The following is a 25,205-nucleotide window of genomic DNA, read 5'->3' on the forward strand; positions in this document are numbered from 1 at the left end:
ACTGGAAGGAGCATGACTCTAGTCGAGGCCCCTCAGCTGTGGCACCACTGGCATTGGGGCTGCATCACCCTGCTGGAGGGGGCGCTCCTGTGCAGAGCAGAGACCCCACCTCCACCCTCTAGATGCTATTAACACCCCACCATCCCCTACAATGACACACAAAAGCATCTCCAGACATGGCCATGTGTCCGGAAAGGCAGAATCACCCCAGTTGAGAAACACTCCTCAAATTAAGAAATTGACAATCTGTAGAAAATGGTTTCCTTGCTGAATTATTACATTAAATGTCTTTGAGGAAACTGGCTACGGGGAAGGAATCTTCATTCATCTGTGCAAACTGCCTCCCTCATTTCACTGAGATCATTTCTTATGCCCCACCCTAAATGCTAAAAGCTCTCATGGTGGAGAGAAAAGTAGATGAGGCTTCCCTCTCTGTGATGGCTCAGGAATGAATGTTTGGGGATGTATCATGTCCATGGGGAATGGCTCTAATCTTGTCCTGTGTCAAATCTCTCAATCAGTCCAGCGGCCACACGATTTCCTCCTGTTCCTTCTCCCACCTCTGCCCAGACACCAAGGCCTCACACACTCACCTGCCTCCTGGACAATGCAGGGACCCTGGGCAGGATCTGCAGCTCTCGGTGGGCCTGGCCTTCCCCTGGACGCATCTGGTTCACCGAGGAGGCCCGTTGGCTGGACACGTCTTTCAGATCATCTCTGACACTGGAGGGGGCTTCAGCCATCTCGATATCTGAGTCCTGCACAATATATTCCTTTCCGTGGAAGGTGACCACAGACTGTAGAGAGAAAAAAGACAATCAGACTCACCATGAGAACCTGAAAGTAGCTCTCATATTCCCTGGGTCCTGCCATAATGCTCACACTTTACTGTAATTAATGTTCAAATCTGCCTTCCCAATAGAGAGTCAGCTCTGTGGACACAGCAATCCTGTCTGAATTTTTTCCTCTCTAGACTCCAGCACCTGCCTGCGCCTGGAATATTCTAGTTAAGTACATAAACATGGGTCCTTTAGATGAAATAGTCTCTAAACCAAAGAGAAGACAAGGAGAAATATTCTGGGTGAATCCAACTCAATTGGCCGATGGCAGCTCACCTTGTATTAGAACTTAGGGGCTCATTTGGGGACCTGGGGGCAGATCCCTGCATCTGATACCAACCACTTTCCCTGCTTCAGGATGGGACTCCTGGGCCCCCCTTCAGTTCACTCTAATGCCTCCTTCCCTACATTCCATCAGGCCTAATATTTCACCAATGTCTTTCTTTCATGTTGGCCTCACACAGTGTGTGGGTCCCTGTACCCCCTCTGCCTGTCCATCTCCTACACCAGGAACTTGCCGTCTCAGCACAGCTGATATTGGAATCTGGATGATTATTTGTCATGATGGGTTGTCCTGAGCGTTAGAGAACGCTTAGCAGCGTCTCCTGTCCTCCCTGACAACAAAAACTGTCCCCAGACACTGCCATGTGTCCCCGACGGGCAAACTCTCCTCTACTTGGAAGCCCTGACCTAGAGCAGCCCCTCGGGTCCTCTCGAGTCCAGCTGCACCGTGCAGCCCCCATCCCAGCTCCCCTTCCCTGCACCAATCACGAGGGTCCCACTCACCCATTTCTTGGGTCTTCTGTTATTTCGTAGCAGGTCCTCCAGGTCTTTGCAGCTCTGCACACCGTTCATCATGACTAAGACCTGGAGCTCCTGGGGCATGGAGATCATGAACTGCTCCATCACCAGCATGTCCAGGATCTGCTCTTTGGTGTGGAGGTCGGGCCTCAGCCACAGATGGCACAGCTCAGTGAGTTTCCTCAGAGCCTGGATGGGGTCCGACTCCTTCGGGCAGCTGAACATCCTGAAGTTCACGTGAGAAATCTCAGGGTCCACGTCGTGATTTCCAAGTTGAGTTTCTGAGGATGCCATAGACCGTGGCAGCTCCAACCCAGGTCTGTTGCAGGATTCTCCTAGACTCCATGAGGATGTGCAATTTGCAGCCATATCTAGTGGAGAATTTTTTAATCAGTCTCTGAGAAAGCTCTTCCAGTAGCTGGTATCTAATTGATACCTATCTACACAGGCTTCCTCTGGTTTTCCTCAGTAATAGATTCACTGTTCATTCAGAAGTCTGGGGGGGAAAAGTATGAGCCTCATTAGTTTAAGTTACTACTCCATCCATCCCTCCCTTCGAAATCCCTCATCCTGGATGCCACTTCTTCAGCAGCATCGAATTCAGCACAGTGGAAATCTTCCAGTGTCTATACCTGACTACATACTCTGGTTTAAAATCTTAATGACCCCTGGATTCTGATCTCTAGGAAATCACTGTGCAGAGGCTGAATCAGTTTTCCTGTCAATTGGAACAACATTGTTCTTGACTATAAATTAAATAAGATAGTTAGGTGAAGCTCTGAAAATGTGATGCAACAATAAAGTAAGCCCTTTATGTTTCCCCATCAGGACAAGATCCAAGGCAAAGCCCTTAGTCATAATTATGCAAAAGGATAGAGAAAAAGAGTTAGAATGTAATATTTTCCCCAACACATATTCTTGTTAACTCCAGAACATTTACTTGCTCCAGGGAAGGGACAGCATTAAAGGATCCTATGAGGATTAAGCACCTACACAGATATTTTGTTATTTTGGTAAAATGTACATTCATAAATTTCATCATTTTTTACTCTCTTCAAGTTCACGATTTTATGGGACTAAGACATGCACCATGTTGTACAACCATTACCACTGTTTACTTCCAGAATTATCTCATCAACCCAAAAGCAACCCCATCCCCATCAGTGATCACCCCCTGCCCACCCACCCCAGCCCCTAGCAATCACTAATCTACCTTCTGTCTCTAAGGGTTTCTGTATTCCTAATCTCATCTCAGAAAATGGATTTAAAGTCTAGTGCTCTTTGATATTTTAAAGAAGTGGGTTGATACAATAATAAGATTTTTAAAAATTAATTCCTAAACCTAGCTTCATTAGGCAGGAGCCACTGAGTGATACTCTCCAGGCATCAATTATCGTCCAAGTTCAACAGCTATGAGAACACAGCCCTGCTTTCCTAGACACAGGTGGGGGAAGCAACCTGAAGGTCTGCAGAGGGGAGAAAAAACTGGCAGAAGGGTCTTGGGAAAAGTCACTGGTAGCCTGGAGGGCGAGTGCCCCACACTTCCTGGAAGGACTTTGAGCAAGTGCAGAACAGAGAGACAGCCAGGGAGACAATCGGCAGAGGCGGGAGACAACCCAGAGGAGGAGACAATATTTACACACCACACATCTCACGGGGCTCCTGTGCAAAACATAAGCAACTCAAACTCCTCCAGAGCGAGAAAACACATAACCCACTAGAAGGGCTTAAGGCGCCTGTGTGGACATCTCAGATGAAGACATGTGAATGGCCAGCAGGTCTAGGAAAAGGTGCTCATTATCACTCATCATCAGGGACATGCAAATCCAAACCACAAGGCACCCCTCACGCCTGCTAGAGTGGCTGTTCCCAAAAAGACACATGGAACGAGTGTTGGTGAGGATTTGGGGGAAAGGGGTCCTCTGCGCCCTGTGCTGGGATGTAAATTAGAGCAGCCGATATGGGAGACAGTATAGAAGCTCCTCAGAAAATTGAAAGTCCAACAACTGCATGATCCGGCAATCCCGCTCCGGGGCAGGTACACAGAGGAAAGGAAATCAGGACGTGGACTCCAAAACAGTGAAACTCTGGAGGGATAGAGGGAGGGAGGGTTGAAAAACTACCTATTGGGTACTATCCTCATATCCTGGGTGATGGGTAGAGTCATACCTCACACCTCAGCATCACTCAATATACTCATGCAACAAATCTGCACAGGTACCCACTGAATCTAAAACACAAGTTCAAATTACAAAAAAAAATTTAAAAAGAAGTAAATAACATAAATAATAATTAAAAACCCAGTGGAACTCATAGTAGTAGTGAGTAGAATAGTTACCAGGGCTGGGGTAGGGGTTGGGAAGATATAGGTCAAAGAGTACAAATTTCAATTGAAGAAATCAATTCAAAAGAGCAATTGTCCAACATGGTGACTTCAGTTCATAACAATGTATTGTATACTTGGAAACTGCTTAAAAAAAATTAGATTTCAAGTATTCTCAAAACCAAAAATGGTTAGTACATGAGGTAGGGCATATGAATATTAGCTCAATTTAGCCATTTAACAATGTTTGTAATACTACAAAGCATATTATGCTATATGCCATAAATATATACAATTTTTAGTTTTCAATTAGAAGCAAATTAATTTTTATTGAAAAAGCACACAGATATGATAGAGAAAAGGGAGCCTGAAATTCTGGAATTAAAAGTGGTTTTGCCAGAGGGCGCCTGCTGCTGCTCAGGAGGCAGAGGCGGAGGTGGGAGGATCACTTGAGCCCAAGTGTTTGATAACAGCCTGGGCAACATAGTGAGATCCTGTCTCTAAAAAAGAAAGTGGTTTCATGTTCCTAGAAATCACTTTGTATTTGATCTTAGTTCATTCCCCGTTAAAGTAAGAAACAAGACACAGGAAAAAATAAAGGCAGACACAGGAGTTAGTATTCAATTCTGGGAGTATATACCACACGGGTCACCCAGGTAGGGACACTTAGCTCAGATTCTCATTGGCCTAGTAGGTTGATGCTCATTCATCAATGATTTGATTTCACCCTGTGCAAAGGGAAAATCCAGCAATGCTTTTTAAAAAGGGTGTGTGGCAGGCAAAGTGGCTCAGGCCTGTAATTCTAACAGGTTGGAAGACCGACATGGGAACATGCTAGAGCCCAGGAGTTCAGGACCAGCCTGAGCAATATACCGAGACCCCATCTCTGCAAAAAAAAAATTAAAAATTTATCCAGTCGTTGTGGCATATGCCTGTAGTCCCAGCTACTCGGGAGGCGGAGGCGGGCGGATCGCTTGAGCCCAGGAATTCCAGGCTAGTCTGGAATTCAAGCGAGACCCTGTCTCTAAAATAAAATAAAATATAACCTAAGCTTGATGAGAAAGTTAGTATTATTCCTAGTTTACAGAAGCGTTACATAACGAGTCAGAGTTAATCATGGGGTGCAAAGGAGACCCGCTGCCTTCACAAAGTCTCCGAGAAAACGCACGAAAAAATAAACCCAAACTTTCTGAAACCAACCCCCGACATGCCAGCTCCTAAACCCGACAGACATCCCCGCTGGACACTCACCTCCTTCCCGGCTTCTGCCTCCGACCTTCTCGGTCTGGGATGCGCTCTCCAACCGGCCTGGAGCTGAACTGCGTCTATTTATGGAGAAGCGGGACTCCAGGCCGCGTTTCCGGTTCCCTGCGCCGCCCCGTGATTGGTTTAGGGCCATAGAGTCCATTTTACGTAATCGGCGTTGATTATGGTTCCCACTGAAACCCCACCCACAGGAAATTAATGTACTAAACATGCCTACTGTGCAAATATTTCCCGCTCTACTGAGTTGTCATACTGCTGAAGTATTTGGTGGCCTCAGAAAATATAGATTTGCGAGTTTTAACCATTTTGGGTCCCCTCATGCCACAGACAGTAATATCCTAACAAGTAAAGAACATGTTAAGAGCTGGTGGATTAGTATCAAACCAGTGATTTGATCTAGTTTGAGCAAAGCTCTCACATATGAATGTCAAGATACTGAAAAAAAGAGACAGTCTTTGTTGATACATAATGAATATTGGTGATAATTTTTTACTGAAAAAAAGAGACAGTCTTTGTTGATACATAATGAATATTGGTGATAATTTTTTATTTTTTAAAAAGAATATTGGAGTTGACATGGGAAAGCTTTGTTTGAACTAGACTAAATCAGTGGTTTGATATCAGCCAACCTACCCTTATATAAAAACAGTGGGAACCAGAGAAAGGCACATGGTCCCCACTCTGCATTCATTCCAGGACGGTGATAGGGTGGTTTATAGATACACTGAGGGTCCTACGGGGTTCCCTAGTTCTCAGCCCCCCTCAGTTAGGGCTCTCAAGCACGAAAAGCCTTAACGGTGGGTGTGAATTTTACTGTGTGGATCATGGAGTTAATGTGGAATGATAATTAAGTGCTAGGCAGGATTAGATTACAATTTGGGAAGTTCACACCATCAGTTGGATGACACTAATCCATTCAAGTAGTGACTCATTCATTTTAATTTCAGAGGAAACCTTCTCGTCTAACCTTTAGGACAAATTGGAGGGCTGTTAATTTTACACTGATTCTGGTTTAAATCCTTGGAAAATCTTAAGCCGCTTCACTCTGGGAACTTCAAACTTCTTGGGAGTAGAACTTTCCTGATGTGTTGTTTTGAAGATGAAGTAAGACTATGTCAGTAAAGTGCTCAATACAAGGTTCATTTTGCCAAGAAATTGTAACAATTATTTTCTGAGGCATGTTCTCATACTTTGTTACATTTTTTCTTGTTTACCACTGAGGTGTTGACTCTAACTCAACTCTAACAAATGAGTTAGAGTTAAGAATGGAATTATTCACTGGAATTAACTGGGAGCTGCCTAAGCCACTCTCTGGCTACCCAATTCCCGATTCCCCTAAATCCTCCCCTCTGTAAACTCATAGTCTTATTTCTGTGAAGCTGCCGTTGGTATTTTGGAAGAGACCGCATCGAATCTGCTGATGTCTATTAATAGTATGGTCTTTTTCACATTCTATGAACATGGCTTTCCATTTTTGGTGGTCTTTTTTGTTTTTTTTCATTAGCACTTAATAGTTTTTCTTGTGGAAATCTTTCACCTCCCTGGTTAAATTTATTACCAGGTTTTTAGGGGTTCTTTTGCTATTGTAAATGGGATTGCTTTCTTGGTTTTTGTTCCACTAGCTTGTTGGTGTATAAAAACACTACTGATTTTTGCATGTTGACTTCGTATCCTGTAGTTTTACTGAATTCCTTTATCAGTTCTGTTTTACTGGTGGAGGTTTCAGGTGTTTTTATAGATGATAACATGTTGTTTGCAAAGAGAGACAATTCGACTTCCTCCTTCTGAATTTGGATGCCCTTTATTCCTTGCTCTGGCTAAGACTTTCCCAACACATTATTATTATATTATTATTATTATTTTGAGACAAAGTGTCGCTCTGTCACCCAGGCTCACTGCAACCTCTGCCTCTTGGGTTCGAGCAATTATTTGCCTCAGCCTCCCAAGTAGCTGGGATTTCAGGCACACGCCACCATGCCCGGTGAATTTTTCTATACTTAATAGAAATGGGGTTTTACCATCTTGCCCAGGCTGGTCTTGAACTCCTGACCTCGTGATCCACCCGCCTCGGCCTCCCAAAGTGCCGGGATTACAGGCATGAGCCACCATACCCGGCCCCAACATATTATTATTAACAAAGGTCACCAGGGTGAAGTTTGGAAACAGGTATACGTTGTGATGCAATCGTCAGAACCAAGCTAGTTAACATCTCCATCACCTCACATAGATACCATGTTCTTTCCTTCTTATTAGTTATTTAACTCTTGGGCTCAAGCAATCCTGCTTCAGCCTCCCTAGCAGCTGGGGTTACAGGCACGAGCCACATCTGGCTTTCTTTTTATTTCTTGATGTGTGTGTGTGTGTGTGTGTGTGTGTGTGTGTGTGTGTGTTGGAAACATTTAAGATACACCCTCTGAGCAAATTTCAAGTATACAGTACAGATGCTCCTCGACTTACAATGAAGTTACATCCTGATAAACCCTATTGTGAATGTAAAATATAGAAAATAAAAATGCATTTACTATTAGGTCACTTACTGAACATCAGCACTTAGCCTAGCCTACCTTCGACGTGCTCAGAACATTTACATTCCCCTGCAGTCAGGCAAAATCATTCACAGGAAACCTATTTTATAATAGAGCACTGAATATCTCATGTCGTTTATTGAACATTGTACTGAAAGTGACAATCAGAATGGTGTGTGAATATTCCTCAGTAACGTACACAGCTGAAAGCAGAACTTTGAGATCAGACTGGCAACATGGCAAAACCCAGTCTCTACAAAAAAACACGAAAGTTCACTGGGCATTATGGTGCAAGCCTGTAGTCCCAGCTACCTGGGAGTCTGAGGCAGAAGAATTGCTTGAGCCTGGGAGGTCAAGGTTGCAGTGAGCTGTGATCACGCCACTGCACTCCAGCCAGGGTAACAGAGCCAGACCCTTTCTCAAAAAATAAATGAATACATAAATGTTCCCCTCATACAAAAAAGATAAGTATGCAAGTCACTCATATGTCAAATTATTAGATTTAGCATTGCACGTTGTATATATGTATCAAAACATTATGTTGTACACCAAAAATGTGTATGTACCATTTTTATTTGTAAATTTATAAAGTTAATAATAATAATGACAAAAAGAAAATAATGCCTTCTCTAAGAATGCGTGACCAACCACCATCCTTCCCTCATGGGAATGTGGAGTTTCCCTTGTCTTGGATGCCTAACAGACCTGTCAATCACCACACATCCCAGACCTACCACATCTTTCCCCACCTCACGTAAAGGTGGCTCCAGCCCCCTTGATGTGCAATCCACAAGATTTGTGGGGTTATCCTTGATTCCTGCATTTCCCTCACATGACACACTCAGTCTCTCAACAAATCCTATACCTTAATTAATGTGTTTATTGACATGAATTTCACGTGACATAAAATTAACTGTTTTATCTGTACAGTTTAGCAGCATTTGGTGCATTTACACTGCTGTGCAGCAGCTCCTCTAGCTGGTTCCTGTGCCTGCATGTCCAGAGTCCAAGTTCTGACATTTGTACATACTCATGAAGTCATTGCCGTCATCAAGAAGCTGAACATCCCCACCATCCTCCAACGCTTCCCCAGGCTCTTCATCATCTGTCCCTCCCACAGCTCCATCCCTGGACAACCACTGGTGTTCTCTGTGTCATTACAGATCACGGACAGAATTTTCTTTTTTCTTTCTTTTTTTCTTTTCTTTTTTTTTGAGACAGTGTCTTGCTCTGTTGCCCAGGCTGCAGTGCAGTGGTATGATCACGGCTCACTGCAGCCTCAACTTCTCAGCCTTAAGTGAACCTCCTACCTCAGCCCCCCCAGGTGGCTGGGACCACTATGTCCGGCTAATTTTTTCTACTTTTTGTAGAGATGGGTCTCACTACATTGCCTAGGCTGATCTTGAACTCCTGGGCTCAAGCAATCCACCTGCTTTTGCCTCCCAAAGTGCTGAGATTACATGTGTCAGCCACTGTGCCCAGCCTAGTAATAGAATTTTCTAGAATTTTATATTGATAGACTCATACCAGATGCACTTTTTTTCTGGCTGTCCCCTTTCACCTTCGTAACTATTTTGAGATTCATCCATGTTCTTGGGTGTTATCAATGATTTCTTTTTACTGCTGAGTAGTATTCCAAACTTTATTAAATTGGGCCCTTTGGATATGAGTTATTTATTTTATATCAACTGTACCTCAATAAGACCATGAAAAAAAAAGAGGATTCTCTTAAAACTTGAAAACAAGTTCAGAATCTGACCAGCTCTCCTCATCTCAACTACCAGTACTCATGGGCAAGCCACAGCCATCAACCTGGCTGACTCTGCTGTGATCCACACTGAGCTCTTTTTTCTTCCCCTTCCCCTATATAGGCTAATTTTTTTTTCTTTTTCTTTTTCTTTTTTTCAGACAGGGTCTTGCTCTGTTGCCCAGGCTGAAGCACAGTTGCACAATCATAGCTCACTGCAGCCTCCACCTCTCAGGCTCAAGCAATCCTCTCACCTCAGCTTCCCCAGTAGCTGCGACCACAGGTGTGCACCACCAGGCCTGGCTAATTGTTTTGTATGTTTTTGTAGACACCGAGTTTCACCATGTTGCCCAGGCTGGTCTTTAACTCCTGGACCCAAGCAATCCACCAGCCTCAGCTTCTTAAAGTGCTAGGATTACAGGCATCAGCCATCATGTCTGACTATATGGGCTTATTTCCAAGACTTTATTCCAAAAAAAATGTTAAACAGAAGTCAGAAAGCTACTCTATGAAGGCAGAGGCATTCGTTGGAGCTGTGAGTGATGTACCTGCAATGTCTAGATTCTAATTTTAGGAGTTGGCAGTGTCAACCCAATTCTGTCTCAACACTATTCAATGACTCAAATAATGGCAGCTCCACCTACTAGTACAATGGGTCAAGTTTTTACATTTCACATGTGCCTACAGGATGGGGCCTGGCAGGCTTGAGATGAGACTTCTGCTTGTTTCTATTTAGCTTCAGACTGTTGAGAAAGTCAGGTCATGGCATTCATTTAGTCCAAACATCATTGTCTATAAAAACGGTGTCCACGTTTTGTCTTTGAAATGGTCCCCGCCCTCCGCTCGTTATCGTGTTGAGAATGAAATGAGAGGACATGCTTGGCACCTGGAGATGATTGGATATTACAGCTGTGCGCCATAAGGGCAAATGGTTCCATTGTTTGATGAGCCATCCTGGCGGTGGGTGGATCATTCACTTCTAAACAGATAAGGAATGGCTAGAAAGTTCTTGTACCAAACCAACTTGAAGCAACCTCACCCACACCGAATCCTATACTTTTCTATGAAATCACCTTTTTTTTTTTTTTTGGAGATCTCCAACTTTTTTTCACAGCTGCTTAAAAAAAAATACTACTGTTCACCCCAGACTTTCTTTTGATACACTAAGTAAACAAAACAGATTTTTTTTTTTTGCCATAAATATCAGCAGACACTTCCTGGCACCCCACACTGTATCAGCATGTGTGTTAACAGTCCCAGTTCAGATGTGCAGTGTTTCAAGTGGATGCACTGTAACAAGGATGCAAATGCGGAGCCACCCTCAGAATAACATTCAGTCATGGGGTTGCCCTTCCAAGCTGGCAGAAAAGGAACCCGGGCCAGGCACCGTGAGCACGCACAGTAACTCACGCCTGTAATCCCAGCACTCTGGAAGGCTGAGGCAGGAGGATTTCTTGAGACCAGGAATTTGAGACCAGCCTGGGCAACATAGTGAGACCCAACTCTACAAATAAGAGATTGTGTGTCCGGAGGCTGAACTCACAAAGATTTCAGAATGTCAGTAGGAGAGGAGGTGTGTGGGATAGCAGCCAATTCGTCAGTGAATGAGGCAGAGAAATTGGTAAAAAGAAGGAAAGTGAAAACAAGAAGCATGTTCCCATTTTCAAGGTCTTCCTGGTTCACAAAGTGGGAAGGAAGAAACTACTGAAGAGGAAAGAGTTCTCTTGAAGAGTACAGAATTCCTGGGCTCCCCGGTTCAGGTCATAAAAAGAAAAGAGAAAACGTTTGCAGCCATGCAGGGTGAACAAGCTCTGAAGATATATTATACGGACTAGGGGTTGTAATCAATGTTAGGGACCATCCCCTACTTCTGAGGGCTCTGAGGCAGGAGAATAGGGTGAGGGAAGAGAGAGACCCTCTCATATTGTTTTATATTGTTTTATACTCAATACCTGTTTTAAAAAAAAAACAACAAGGAAGTAAAACCAAAGACAGGCAGCCCGGCGCCAGGCCCGAAACCAGGCCTGGGCCTGCCTGGCCTAAACCCAGTAGTTAAAAATCAACTGATAACTTAAAAACCGATGTTATTCATAGATTCCAGACATTGTATAGAACAACATTGTGAAACTCCCTGCCCTGTTCTGTTTCTCTCTGACCACCGGTGCATGCAGCCCCTGTCACGTACCCCTTGCTTGCTCAAATCAATCACGACCCTTTCATGTGAAATCCTTAGAGTTGTGAGCCCTTAAAAGGGACAGGAATTGCTCACTCGTGGAGCTCGGATTTCAAGGCAGTAGCTTGCCAATGCTCCCAGCTGAATAAAGCCCTTCCTTCTACAACTCGGTGTCTGAGAGGTTTCGTCTGTGGCTCGTCCTACTACAAGGGAATTAGGGTAACCAGGGGTTAAGGTAGAAGCAAAAGAACCGCACTTGCAGCCAGTTCTAGGCAAGATTAGGCAGCACACAGGCCACATCCTCACTCCTGTGATAACGAGACAGAAGCCTCCACTCCAGCCTCTGATTGACCGTGGGCCAAGCCTCCACTCCAACCTCTGATGGACGGTGGGCCAAGCCTCCACTCCAACCTCTGATGGACGGTGGGCCAAGCCTCCACTCCAGCCTCTGATTGACCGTGGGCCAAGTCTCCACTCCAGCCTCTGATGGACGGTGGGCCAAGTCTCCACTCCAGCCTCTGATGGACCGTGGGCCAAGTCTCCACTCCAGCCTCTGATGGATGGTGGGCCAAGCCTCCACTCCAGCCTCTGATGGACCGTGGGCCAAGTCTCCACTCCAGCCTCTGATGGACGGTGGGCCAAGTCTCCACTCCAGCCTCTGATGGACCGTGGGCCAAGTCTCCACTCCAGCCTCTGATGGATGGTGGGCCAAGCCTCCACTCCAGCCTCTGATGGACGGTGGGCCAAGCCTCCACTCCAGCCTCTGATGGACGGTGGGCCAAGTCTCCACTCCAGCCTCTGATGGACGGTGGGCCAAGCCTCCACTCCAGCCTCTGATTGACCGTGGGCCAAGTCTCCACTCCAGCCTCTGATGGACGGTGGGCCAAGCCTCCACTCCAGCCTCTGATTGACCGTGGGCCAAGTCTCCACTCCAGCCTCTGATGGACGGTGGGCCAAGTCTCCACTCCAGCCTCTGATGGACCGTGGGCCAAGTCTCCACTCCAGCCTCTGATGGATGGTGGGCCAAGCCTCCACTCCAGTCTCTGATGGACGGTGGGCCAAGTCTCCACTCCAGCCTCTGATGGACAGTGGGCCAAGTCTCCACTCCAGCCTCTGATGGACGGTGGGCCAAGCCTCCACTCCAGCCTCTGATGGACGGTGGGCCAAGCCTCCATTCCAGCCTCTGATGGACGGTGGGCCAAGTCTCCACTCCAGCCTCTGATGGATGGTGGGCCAAGCCTCCACTCCAGCCTCTGATGGACGGTGGGCCAAGCCTCCACTCCAGCCTCTGATTGACCGTGGGCCAAGCCTCCACTCCAACCTCTGATGGACGGTGGGCCAAGCCTCCACTCCAGCCTCTGATGGACGGTGGGCCAAGTCTCCACTCCAGCCTCTGATGGACGGTGGGCCAAGCCTCCACTCCAGCCTCTGATGGACGGTGGGCCAAGTCTCCACTCCAGCCTCTGATGGACGGTGGGCCAAGCCTCCACTCCAGCCTCTGATGGACGGTGGGCCAAGCCTCCATTCCAGCCTCTGATGGACGGTGGGCCAAGTCTCCACTCCAGCCTCTGATTGACCGTGGGCCAAGCCTCCACTCCAGCCTCTGATGGACGGTGGGCCAAGTCTCCACTCCAGCCTCTGATGGACGGTGGGCCAAGCCTCCACTCCAGCCTCTGATGGACGGTGGGCCAAGCCTCCATTCCAGCCTCTGATTGACCGTGGGCCAAGCCTCCACTCCAACCTCTGATGGACGGTGGGCCAAGCCTCCATTCCAGCCTCTGATGGACGGTGGGCCAAGTCTCCACTCCAGCCTCTGATGGATGGTGGGCCAAGCCTCCACTCCAGCCTCTGATGGACGGTGGGCCAAGTCTCCACTCCAGCCTCTGATGGACGGTGGGCCAAGCCTCCACTCCAGCCTCTGATGGACGGTGGGCCAAGCCTCCATTCCAGCCTCTGATGGACGGTGGGCCAAGCCTCCATTCCAGCCTCTGATGGACGGTGGGCCACGCCTCCACTCCAACCTCTGATTGACCGTGGGCCAAGCCTCCACTCCAGCCTCTGATGGACGGTGGGCCAAGCCTCCATTCCAGCCTCTGATGGACGGTGGGCCAAGCCTCCACTCCAACCTCTGATTGACCGTGGGCCAAGCCTCCACTCCAGCCTCTGATGGACGGTGGGCCAAGTCTCCACTCCAGCCTCTGATGGATGGTGGGCCAAGCCTCCACTCCAGCCTCTGACGGACGGTGGGCCAAGTCTCCACGTCAGCCTCTGACTGGTCGCAGGTCAGTCCTTCACGGGGTGTAGCCAATGGGAGGCCTGTCAAAGACACCGAGGGGTATTGCCGGGTTCCTTTTAATAAAAACCCTAATTGAGGAAGCTCTTGGGCCTCTTGCTGGAGCCCCGCTCCCAGTCTGTGAATTGTCTTCAATAAACCTGTGCTTTCCTTACTCCGTTTTTTTGTGTTTTTGTCTTTCGTTGCTTTGTTCTTTTGTTACTTTGTGCGTTTCATTCAATTCTCTGTTCAACACGCCTAGAACGTGGACAACTCCATCCGGTAACAGCTCCACGTACAATTTTTCTCCTTTGCGGCGGTGCTTTCAGCTGTGCACATTGCTGAGGAGGATCCACACCGCCATTCTGATTGTCACTTTCAGTTCAGTATTCAATAAACTACAGGAGAGAGTCAACACTTTATTATAAAATAGGTTTTCTGTTGGACGATTTTGCCCAACTGTAGGGGAAGGTACGTGTTCAGGGCGGGTTTAGGGTAGGCTAGGCTAAACTCTGATGTTTTGTAGGTGACATAATATTAAATGCATTTTTTATCTTCTATATTTTCAATTTATCAGGATGTGACTTCGCTGTACGTTGAAGAGCATCCACACTGTATCGCATACTTGAAATTTGCTGAGAAGATCGATTATGGGCCGGGGCGCGGTGGCTCATGCCTGTAATTCCATTAATTTGGGAAGCTGAGACGGGCGGATCGCTTGAGCTCAGGAGTTTGAGACCAGCCTGGGCAACATGGCGAAACCCCGTCTCTACAAATAATATAAAAATTAGCCGGGCATGGGTGGCGCCTGTATTCCCAGCTGCTTGGGAGGAAGAGGCAGTAGGATCATTTGAGCCCGGGAGGTGGAGGTTGCAGTGACCTGAGATTGTGCCACTGTGCTCCAGCCTGGGTGGCAGAGTGAGGTTCTGTCTCAAAAATAAAAAAAATTTAAAAAATGATAGATCATAAGTGTTTCACCACAGACACACGGACACACACACATACACACATACGCACACATACACACACACGTCAAAGAAACAAAAAGCAAGCCAGGAGTCGTGGCATATGTGTCTAGTCCCCTAGACACACACAGAGACACACCCGGACACACGGAAACACATACGAACACACACCCACACACAGACACACACATGGACATACACACATACGCACACATACACACACACACGTCAAAGAAACAAAAAGCAAGCCAGGGGTTGTGGCATATGCTCTTAGTCCCCACTACTGGGGAGGCTGAGGCAGGAGGATTACTTGAGGCCAGGAATTAAGCAAATAAATAATGAAATGAAAATAGTCACTATGTGAGTTGACGAATACATTAATTAGCTTGATTGTAGTATAATTACACCATGAATAGGGATATGTAAACACCAGCATGGTGACCTTAGTCACCAAGGACAGGTAGAGGCCAGGAATTGGAGAGCAGCCTGGGCAACACAGTGATACCCCCATCTTTACAAAAAAATCTTTTAAAATTAGCCAAGTGTGGTGGTGCTTGCCTGTAATTCCAGATACTCACTCAGGAGGCTGGAGCAGGAGGCTCTCTTGAGCCCAGGGGTTCAAGGCTGCAGTGAGCTATGAGTTTTCCATTGCACCCAGCCAAGGTGAGTGAGACCTTGGCTCTAAAAATAAATCAATCAATAAACAAATTTATCCACACAGGTAGGAGATCTCTACAAGAAAAACTATAAAATACTGATGAGAGGAAATGAAGAGGGCACACAAATGGAAAGATAGTCCATGTTCATAAATCGGAAGAATTCACATTGTGAAAATGACCACACTATTAATAGAGATCTATAGATCCAACTCAATCCCTACCAAAATGCCAAGGACATTCCTTATGAGAACATGACATGTTTCAAGAGGAGAGGACTGGAGGGAATTGGGTAGGTAGATGGTGGTTTTAGGCAGATTCTAGTTCATTCCACTTAATAACTCCATTCTGAACTGACTCACTATCAACGCCTCAATTCTTAACAAGGAAAAATATCACAAAGTATGAGAAAATGCATCAGGAAATAAGTGTCAGAACTTTTTGGCAAAATGACCTTGTGTCGGGCACTTTACTGACATAATCTTATATCATCTTCCAAAGAACATATCAGGAAGGTAATAATTCCCTGGTTCTATTCACAGGGAGCTTGAAGTTCACAAAATTCAGTGGCTTAAGATTTCCCAAGGATTTAAACCAGAATCAGTGTAATATTAATAACCCTTCAATGTATGTTAAGTGTTAGATGAGAAAATTTACTCTGAATTAAAAATGAATGAGCCACAATTTGAATGGATTTGTGAATCAGTCAGCGGATGCTGCGAACTTCCCAAATTGTAACCTAATCATGTAATCTAATCATGACACTCAGTTTTCATTCCACAATGACTCCATGATCCACGCAGTATAATTCACACCTAACATTAAGGCTTTTCACGTTTGAGAGGCCTCAGTCAGGGGGCTGAGAACCAGGGAACCCTGTAGGACCCTCAGTGTATCTATAAACCACCCTCTCACCGTCCTGGAGTGAGTGCAGAGTGGGGACCATGTGCCTTTCTCTGGTTCCCACTGTTTTTACATAAGGGTAGGTTGGCTGATATCAAACCAGTGATTTAGACTAGTTCAAGCAAAGCTTTTCCATGTGAATTCCAAGAGTTTGAAAAAGAAAAGTAAAGAATTATCACTAATATTTATTGTATATCAGCAATGACTGTATTTTTCAATATACTGACATTAATATGTGAAAGGCTTTGCTTAAACTGCATTAAATCACTGGTTTGATATTAATCCAACAACTCTTAACATGTCCTTTATTTGTTAGGATATTACTGTCTGTGTGGCGCGAGGGGACCCAAAGTGATTAAAACTTGTGGACCTAGGGCCAGGTGTGGTGGCTCACGCCTGTAATCTCAGCACTTTGGGAGGCCGAGGTGGGCAGATCACTAGGTCAGGAGTTCAAGACCAGCCTGGCCAACATGGTGAAACCCCGTCTCTACTAAAAATACAAAAATTAGCCAGGCGTGGTGGCGGGCACCTGTAATCCCAGCTACTCATGAGGCTGAGGCAGGAGAATCGCTTGAACCCAGGAGGTGGAGCTTGCAGTGAGCCGAGATCACGCCACTGAACTCTAGCCTGGGGGACAGTGTGAGACTCTGTCTCAAAAAAAACCAAAAGAAGAAAAAAAAACCCATAAAACCAAACAAAAAAAAACTTGTGGATCTATATTTTCTGAGGCCTCCAAATACTTCAGCAATATGACAAATAATTCAGTAGAGTGGGAAAACCTATGTTATTTGCACAGTAGGCATGTTTAATACTTTAACTTCCTGTGGGCAGGGTTTCATTGGGAAATGTAATCAACTCGGATCACCTAAAATGGATTACGTGGCCCTAAACCAATCATGGGGCAGTGCAGGAACTGGAAATGGGGCCTGGAGTCCTTCGACTTCTCCATAAATAGGCGCAGTTCAGCTCCAGGCCAGTTGGAGAGTGCATCCCAGATGCGAGAAAGTTGGAGGCATAAGGCGGGAAGGAGGTAAGTGTCCAGAGGCCATGTCTGTGGGGTTTAGGAGCTGGCATGCAGGGGGGTTAGTTTCAGAAAGATTTGGGTTTATTTTCTCATGCATTTGCTTGGAGACCTTGTGAAAGCATCGGGTCTCCTTTGCACCCCGTGATTAACTCTGGCTTGTTATGAAACCCTTATGTAAACTAGGAATAATATTAACTTTCTCATCATGGGTAGGTTACATTTTAGAGACGGGGGTCTCACTCATTGCCCAGGCTGGCTTGAATTCCTGGTCTCCAGTCATTGGCGAGACTTCACTTCACCATCAGCTGGGACGACAGGCACCTACCTGCCAACAGGCCCGGCTACATTTTATTTTTTTGTAGAGATGGGGTCTCGGTATGTTGCACAGGCTGGTCTTGAACTCCTAGGCTCAAGCAATCATACCACCTGGGTCTTCCAAACTGTTGGAATTACAGGCGTGAGCCACCTTGCCGGCCGCACTCCACTTGTTAAAAAGCATCACTGGATTTTCCCTTTCCACAGGGTAAAATCAGCCATTAATGAATGAGCATCAACCTACTAGGCCAATGAGAATGTGCACTAAGTGTCCCTACCTGGGGGTCCTGTGTGCTATATACTCCCAGAATTGAATACTAACCCGCATACCTGCCTTTATTTTTTCCCATGTTCCATTGCTTGCTTTAATGGGAAAAGAACTGAGAGTGAATACACGGTGATTTCTAGGAACATGAAACCACTTTTTTAAGAGACAGGATCTCACTATGTTGCCCAGGCTGTTATCAAACTCCTGGGCTCAAGTGATCCTCTTGCCTTGGCCTGAGCAGCAGCAGGCGCCCTTGCAGCAAAGCCACTTTTAATTCCAGAATTTTAGGCTCTCTTTTCTCTCTCATATTTGTATGCTTTTTTCAAAAAAAATTAATTTGCTTTCAAATTGAAAACTAAAAATTGTATACAATTGGGCACAGCATAATGTGCTTTGTAGGATGTGAACGCTGTAAAATGGCTAAATTAAGCTGCTATTCACATGCCTTACTTTATGTACTAATCATTTTTGGCTGTGAGAATACTTGATTGAAATCTACTCTTTTAGCAATTTCCAAGCATACATTGTTATGAACTGAAGTCACCATGTTGGACAACGGCTCTCTTGAATTCATCTCTCCAACTGAAATTTGTACCCTTAGACCTATATCTCCCCAACCCCCATCCCAGCCCTGGTAACCACCATTCTACTCACTGCTACTATGAGTCCACTAGGCTTTTAAAATTATTATTCATGTCATCTACTTCTTTTTTAATTTTTTAAATGATTTTAACTTGTATTTTAGATTCGCTGGGTGCCTGTGCAGATTTGTTACATGAGTGTATTGAGTGATGCTGAGATTTGGGGTATGACTCAACCCGTCACCCAGGATGTGAGGAGCACCCGATAGGTAGTTTTTCAACCCTCCCTCCCTCTATCCCTCCAGAGTTTCACTGTTTTGGAGTCCACGTCCTGATTTCCTTTCCTCTGTGTACCTGCCCCGGAGCGGGATTGCCGGATCATGCAGTTGTTGGACTTTCAATTTTCTGAGGAGCTTCTATACTGTCTCCCATATCGGCTGCTCTAATTTACATCCCAGCACGGGGCGCAGAGGACCCCTTTCCCCCGAATCCTCACCAACACTCGTTCCATGTGTCTTTTTGGGAACAGCCACTCTAGCAGGCGTGAGGGGTGCCTTGTGGTTTGGATTTGCATGTCCCTGATGATGAGTGATGACGAGCACCTTTTCCTAGACCTGCTGGCCATTCACATGTCTTCATCTGAGGTGTCCACAGAGGCACCTTGCCCACTTCTAGCGGGTTATGTGTTTTCTTGCTCTGGAGTAGTTTGAGTTGCTTATGTTTTGCACAGGAACTGCTTGTGAGATGTGTGGTGTGTAAATATTGTCTCCTCTGGGTTGTCTTCCCCCTCTGCTGATTGTCTCCCTGGCTGTCTCTGTGTTCTGTACTTGCTCAGATTCCTTCCAGGAAGCGTAGGTTTTCCATCCTTCAGGATTCCAGTGACCTTTCCCGAGACCCTCCTGTCAATTCTTTCTTCCTTCTGAAGACCTTTCGGTTGCTTCCCCCACCTGTGGCTAGGAAGACAGGGCTGCGTTCTCACAGCTGTTGAACTTGGATAATAACTGATGCCTGGAGAGTATCACACAGTGTGTCCTGCCTAATGAAACTACATTTAGAACCAAATTTCAAAAAATCGTTCTTTCTTTCTCTCTTTTTTTTTTGAGACGGAGTCTCGCTCTTGTTGCCCAGGCTGGAGTGCAATGGCGTGATGTCGGCTCACTACAACTTCCACCTCCCTGATTCAAGTGATTCTCCTGCCTCAGACTGCCAAGTAGCTAGGATTACAGGCACGTGCCACCATGCCCGGCTAATTTTTGTATTTTGAGTAGAGACGAAGTTTCACCATCTTGGTCAGGCTGGTCTCGAACTCCTGACCTCAAGTGATCCTCCCGTCTTGGCCTCCCAAAGTGTTGGGACTACAGGCATGAGCCACCACACCTGGCCTCAAAAAATCTATCGTATTATTTCACTTCCTGAAAATTTCATAGAGCACTAGACTTTAAATCCATTTTCTGAGATGAGATTAGGAATAGAGAAACCCTTAGAGACAGAAGGTAGATCAGTGATTGGCAGGGGCTGGGGTGGGTGGGCAGAGGGTGATCATTGATGGGGATGGGGTTCCTTTTGGGCTGATGAGACAATTCTGGAGCTAGACAGTGGTGATGGTTGCACAGCATGGTGCATGCATGTCTTAGTGCCATGAAATTGTGCACTTCAAGATGGTAAAAATGATGAAATTTATGAATGTGCATTTTACCAAAATAGCAATATCTGTGTAGGAGTTGAATTCTCATGATTACTTAATGCTCTCCCTTCCCTGGAGCAAACAAATGTCCTGGGGTTAACAAGAAAAGGTGTTGGGGGACAACTGTAGGTTGTAACTATTTTTCTCTATCTTTGTGCGTAATTATGATGAAGGGCTTTACCTTGGATCTTGTCTGGACAGGAAAACATAAATAAGTTATTGTTGCATCAGATTTTAGGAGCTTCACATAAGTATCCTATTTAATTTACAGTTGGGAACCATGTTGTTCCAATTGAAAAAAAAACTGATTTCACTTCTGCACAATGATTTCCTGGAGATCAGAATCCAGGGGAGCATTAGGATTTTAAATCAGAACATATAGTCAGGTGTAGACAGCGGAAGAGTAACAGGGTGGGTTGATTTCCACTGTGCTGAATTCGATGCTGCTGAAGAAGTGGCGTCCAGGATTTGGATGAGGGTTTTGGAAGGGATGGGTGGATAGACTAGAAACTTTGATCGGGCTCATGTTTTTTTTTGCAGACTTCTGAACAGTGAATCTATTATTGAGGAAAACCAAAGGAGGCCTGTCTAGATAGGTCTCAATTAGACACCAGCTACTGGAAGAACTTTCTCAGAGACTGACTGAAATATTCTCCACCAGATATGGCTGCAAATTGCAACTCCTCATGGGGTCAGGGAGGACCCTGCAACAGCCCTGAGTCAGAGCCGCCACAGTCTGTGGCTTCCCCAGAAACTCAACTTGGAAATCATGACTGGGACCCTGAGACTTGTCACGTGAACTTCAGGATGTTCAGCTGCCCAGAGGAGTCGGACCCCATCCAGGCTCTGAGGAAACTCACTGAGCTGTGCCATCTGTGGCTGAGGCCCGACCTCCACACCAAAGAGCAGATCCTGGACATGCTGGTGATGGAGCAGTTCATGATCTCCATGCCCCAGGAGCTCCAGGTCTTAGTCAAGGTGAACGGTGTGCAGAGCTGCAAAGACCTGGAGGACCTGCTACGAAATAACAGAAGACCCAAGAAATGGGTGAGTGGGACCCTCGTGACTGGTGCAGGGAAGGGGAGCTGGGATGGGGGCTGCACGGTGCAGCTGGACTCGAGAGGACCCGAGGGGCTGCTCTAGGTCAGGGCTTCCAAGTAGAGGAGAGTTTGCCCATCAGGGACACATGGCAGTGTCTGGGGACAGTTTTTGTTGTCACAAGGGGGAGGACAGGAGACGCTGCTAAGCATTCTCTAATGCTCAGGACAACCCACCATGACAAATAATCTTCCAGATTCCAATATCAGCTGTGCTGAGACGGCAAGTTCCTGGTGTAGGAGATGGACAGGCAGAGGGGGTACAGGGACCCACACACTGTGTGAGGCCAACATGAAAGAAAGACATTGGTGAAATATTAGGTCTGATGGAATGTAGGGAAGGAGGCATTAGAGTGAACTGAAGCGGGGCCCAGGAGTCCCATCCTGAAGCAGGGAAAGTGGTTGGTATCAGATGCAGGGATCTGCCTCCAGGTCCCCAAATGAGCCCCTAAGTTCTAATACAAGGTGAGCTGCCATCGGCCAATTGAGTTGGATTCACCCAGAATATTTCTCCTTGTCTTCTCTTTGGTTTAGAGACCCTTTCATCTAAAGGACTCATATTTATGTACTTATGTAGAAAAGGAAAAAATTCAGACAGATTGCTGTGTCCACAGAGCTGATTCTGCATTGGGAAGGCAGATTTGAACATTACAGTAAAGTGTGAGCATTATGGCAGGACCCAGGGAATATGAGAGCTACTTTCAGGTTCTCATAGTGAGTCTGATTGTCTTTTTTCTCTCTACAGTCTGTGGTCAATTTTCTTGGCAAGGAATATCTTATGCAGGAATCAGATGTCGAGATGGCTGAAATCCCTGCCAGTGTCAGAGATGATCCGAGAGGCGTGTCCAGCCAGCGGGCCTCCTCTGTGAATGAGATGCGTCCGGGGGAAGGCCAGGCCAGCCAAGAGCTGCAGACCCTGCCCAGGGTCCCTGCACTGTCCAGAAGGCAGGTGAGTGTGTGAGGCCCTGGTGTCTGGGCAGAGGTGGGAGAAGGAACAGGAGAAAACTGAGTGTGCCTCTGGACTGATTGAGAGATTTGGCACAGGACAAGAACAGAGACATTCCCCATGGATGTGTTACATCCTTAGACATTCCTGAGTCATCACAGAGAATGAAGCCTCATCTACTTTTCTCTCCACCATGAGAGCTTTTAGCATGTAGGGTGGGGGGTCAGAAATGGTCTCAGTGAAATGAGGGAGGCAGTTGGCACCGATGAATGAACTGAAGGTCCCTTCCCCATTCAGTTTCCTCAAAGACATTTAATGTCATAATTCAGCAAGGAGCGCACTTTCTACAGATTGTCAATTTCTTAATTTGAGGAGTGTTTCTCAACTGGGGTGATTTTGCCTTTCAGGACACATGGCCATGTCTGGAGATGTGTTTGTGTGTCATTGTAGGGGGTGGTGGGGTGTTGATAGCATCTAGAGGGTGGAGGCGGGGTCTCTGCTCTGCACAGGAGCGCCCCCTCCAGGAGGGTGATGCAGCCCCAATGCCAGTGGTGCCAGGGGTTAGGGGCCTCCACCTAGAGTCATGCTCCTTCCAGTGTCAGGGGCAGGGAGACGTTGGCACAGCGGGGAGAAATATGCTCAGAGAACCAAACAGTGAAAACCACCAGGCACAGGAGCTGATTTAGAATATGGAGGGTGCAGATTAGGGAGAGACTCAGAAATGAGGTGGTGATGTTTATTTGGGATGATGTGGGAGGCCCATAGGAAGTCTGCACGTATCCCTAAACCTGTGTCATTAGAAAAGTTGGTGTATCCAGTCAGGAAGGGACAGTGATGTCCATGACCCACCAGTTTAGACAGGGCAGTCATTGCTGTTGGTTTTCCATTGTCAGGAAGAGGACTTCCTGCTGCCAGAGACTACTGTCATGAAAAGTGCCCCAAAGGCTCTGAGACCCAAGCCAACCTTGGAGAAGGATCTGAACGTAGACAGGGAAGAAAACACGGGACTTACATCCCCAGAGCCTCAGCTTCCAAACGGTCCTAGTGAGTATGAAGACTTGGATCCACAGGGGTTAGCCCCTCTCTTCTGGGGTGTGGGGCTGGGGTCCCAGCATTATCATGTCTGGGGGAGTTGGCACTCAGCTGCCAAAGCCTCTCCATCCCTTACTCTCCAGAGACCTACGGTCCAATGTCTTAGGTTTAAGGTTGAGGGGAAGTTGTCAGCCAACATCAGTGTTTGGTTGCAATGAGTTTGGTGTATTGAAAATGTACCTTATTAACTGTTGTGTGTGGAATCCCTTCTTCCAGCAGGTGTGGTGGGAGCAAAGGAGGGGAAGGAACCCAAAAAAAGAGCCTCTGTCGAAAATGTGGATGCTGACACACCTTCTGCCTGCGTTGTGGAGAGAGAAGCTTCGACTCACAGCGGGAGCAGAGGAGACGCTCTGAATCTGAGATGTCCCAAAAGAAGCAAACCAGACGCCACCTCCATTTCCCAAGAAGGGCCTCAAGGAGGAGCCACACCTGTGGGCAACAGCGAATCCCCAGGAAAACCTGAGATAAATTCAGTTTATTCCCCAGGCCCTGCAGGTGCAGTCAGTCACCCCAATGGCCAAGAAGCCAAGGAACTGCTGCCCTTTGCATGTGGCGTGTGCAATAAGAGGTTTACGTGTAATTCCAAGCTAGCCATCCACATGAGATCACACACAGGAGAGAGACCCTTTCAATGTAATTTCTGTGAGAGGTGCTTCACGCAGCTCTCAGACCTCCGCGTCCACCAGCGAATCCACACTGGTGAGAAGCCCTACACATGTGACATCTGTCACAAACGGTTCAACAGGATGTTCTCCTTGAAGTGTCACAAGAGGAGCCACACGGGGGAGAAGCCCTATAAATGTAAGGACTGCAACCAAGTTTTCACCTACAGGAAGAACCTGAACGAGCACAAGCTCATCCACTCCGGAGAGAAACCCTATAAATGTCCCAAGTGTCTAAGAGCCTTTCGTCGGCCTGAAACGTTAAAATACCACCAGAAAACACATCAAGAAACCACTGCACCCAGAGAATGTGAAGGATGATTTTTCACTGACGCTATTAGATGAGATATGACATGAAGCAGGTGCAAGGGCGCCTGGCACACAGAGGGAGTGCCCTAGATAGGAATTGCCAGGATGTCGGAGTAAATATTCATTCTCCCCACAGAGCTTTATTTTCTGTTTCATTAGGTCCATTGTTTTCGTACAGGTTTATGTGGGTGTGTGTTGCTGTTCTTTCTTTTATTATTTTTTTTGAGACGGAGTCTTGTTCTGTCACCCAGGCTGGAGTGCAGTGGTGCGATCTCGGCTCACTGCCAGCTCAGTCTCCCAGGTTCACATCATTCTCCTGCCTCAGCCTCCCGAGTAGCTGGGACTACAGGCGCCTGCCACCATGCCCGGCTAATTTTTTGTACTTTTAGTAGAGACGTGGTTTCACCTGTTAGCCAGGATGGTCTCGATCTCCTGACCTCGTGATCCGCCCGCCTCACCCTCCCAAAGTGCTGGGATTACAGGCGTGAGCCACCGCACCTGGCCTGTTCTTTCAATAAACAAACATCTAATTAGTTTTCAGTATTTTATAACAAAAAACGGAGCCTTCTGATTGACATGCTATTACCCACTGTTTTGCTGTAAATTAAAGTTGTCAAAGTAGGTGTCCAGATTAAATACACAATGCCTGGGGAAATCTGTGTTTCAAATAAACAATTTTTTTTTAGTATCAGCTTGTTCTAAATTATTCATTATTTATCTGAAACTCAGCTTCTATTGGGTATCCTGTATTGTTTTC

At 46.5% G+C, this 25,205-nt stretch overlaps 2 protein-coding genes and 1 pseudogene across 24 annotated transcripts in view, besides 1 other annotated feature; 1 reads left to right on the forward strand and 2 right to left on the reverse strand.

Annotated features, from left to right (window-relative positions):
* The window catches only part of ZSCAN5A (zinc finger and SCAN domain containing 5A), a 146,976-nt gene that overhangs the window by 1,735 nt on the left and 120,036 nt on the right, over positions 1-25,205 (reverse strand). For 10 of the 23 annotated variants that reach the window (NM_001322072.3, NM_001322073.2, NM_001322065.3 and 7 more), the window contains 2 exons: positions 1,626-2,011; positions 594-797 (listed from right to left, as the gene is read on the reverse strand). In NM_001322072.3, coding sequence (NP_001309001.1) covers positions 594-797; positions 1,626-2,009 — 588 coding nt within the window. In that variant the 5' untranslated portion in view covers positions 2,010-2,011. Of the gene's footprint in view, positions 1-593; positions 798-1,625; positions 2,137-5,214; positions 5,403-7,247; positions 7,365-25,205 lie in introns of those variants that run through there. The other 13 variants (NM_001322074.2, NM_001322064.3, NM_001387856.1 and 10 more) reach the window with 7 other exon arrangements.
* Positions 8,617-14,535, reverse strand: LOC124904774 (uncharacterized). The gene is made up of 2 exons (XM_047439798.1): positions 12,086-14,535; positions 8,617-12,015 (listed from the first exon to the last, which is right to left on the reverse strand). The coding sequence occupies exons 1-2, from the start codon at positions 13,372-13,374 to the stop codon at positions 11,943-11,945; spliced, it is 1,362 nt and encodes a 453-aa protein (XP_047295754.1). The 5' UTR covers positions 13,375-14,535; the 3' UTR covers positions 8,617-11,942.
* Positions 12,998-14,197: an enhancer, noted in NCBI's record as "CDK7 strongly-dependent group 2 enhancer chr19:56747404-56748603 (GRCh37/hg19 assembly coordinates)". NCBI's record gives its function as "activates an origin of replication core promoter dependent on BRD2, BRD4, P300/CBP, MED14 and CDK7 cofactors, with strong dependence on CDK7, by STARR-seq in HCT116 cells {active_cell/tissue: HCT116}" and the evidence as "EXISTENCE:reporter gene assay evidence [ECO:0000049][PMID:35650434]".
* Positions 20,888-24,430, forward strand: ZSCAN5DP (zinc finger and SCAN domain containing 5D pseudogene; annotated as a pseudogene).

The sequence above is a fragment of the Homo sapiens genome, chromosome 19, assembly GCF_000001405.40.
Source record: "Homo sapiens chromosome 19, GRCh38.p14 Primary Assembly".
In the NCBI taxonomy this organism is placed as follows: domain Eukaryota; kingdom Metazoa; phylum Chordata; class Mammalia; order Primates; family Hominidae; genus Homo; species Homo sapiens.

Excerpts from the sequence above, each read along its gene's own strand:
- LOC124904774 (XM_047439798.1), bottom strand. The coding sequence starts at position 13,374 with ATGGAGGCTTGGCCCACCGTCCATCAGAGGCTGGAGTGGAGGCTTGGC. Across the intron at positions 12,016-12,085 it reads TGGCCCACCGTCCATCAGAG|GCTGGAGTGGAGGCTTCTGT; the intron begins GTTGGAGTGGAG and ends GGTCAATCAGAG.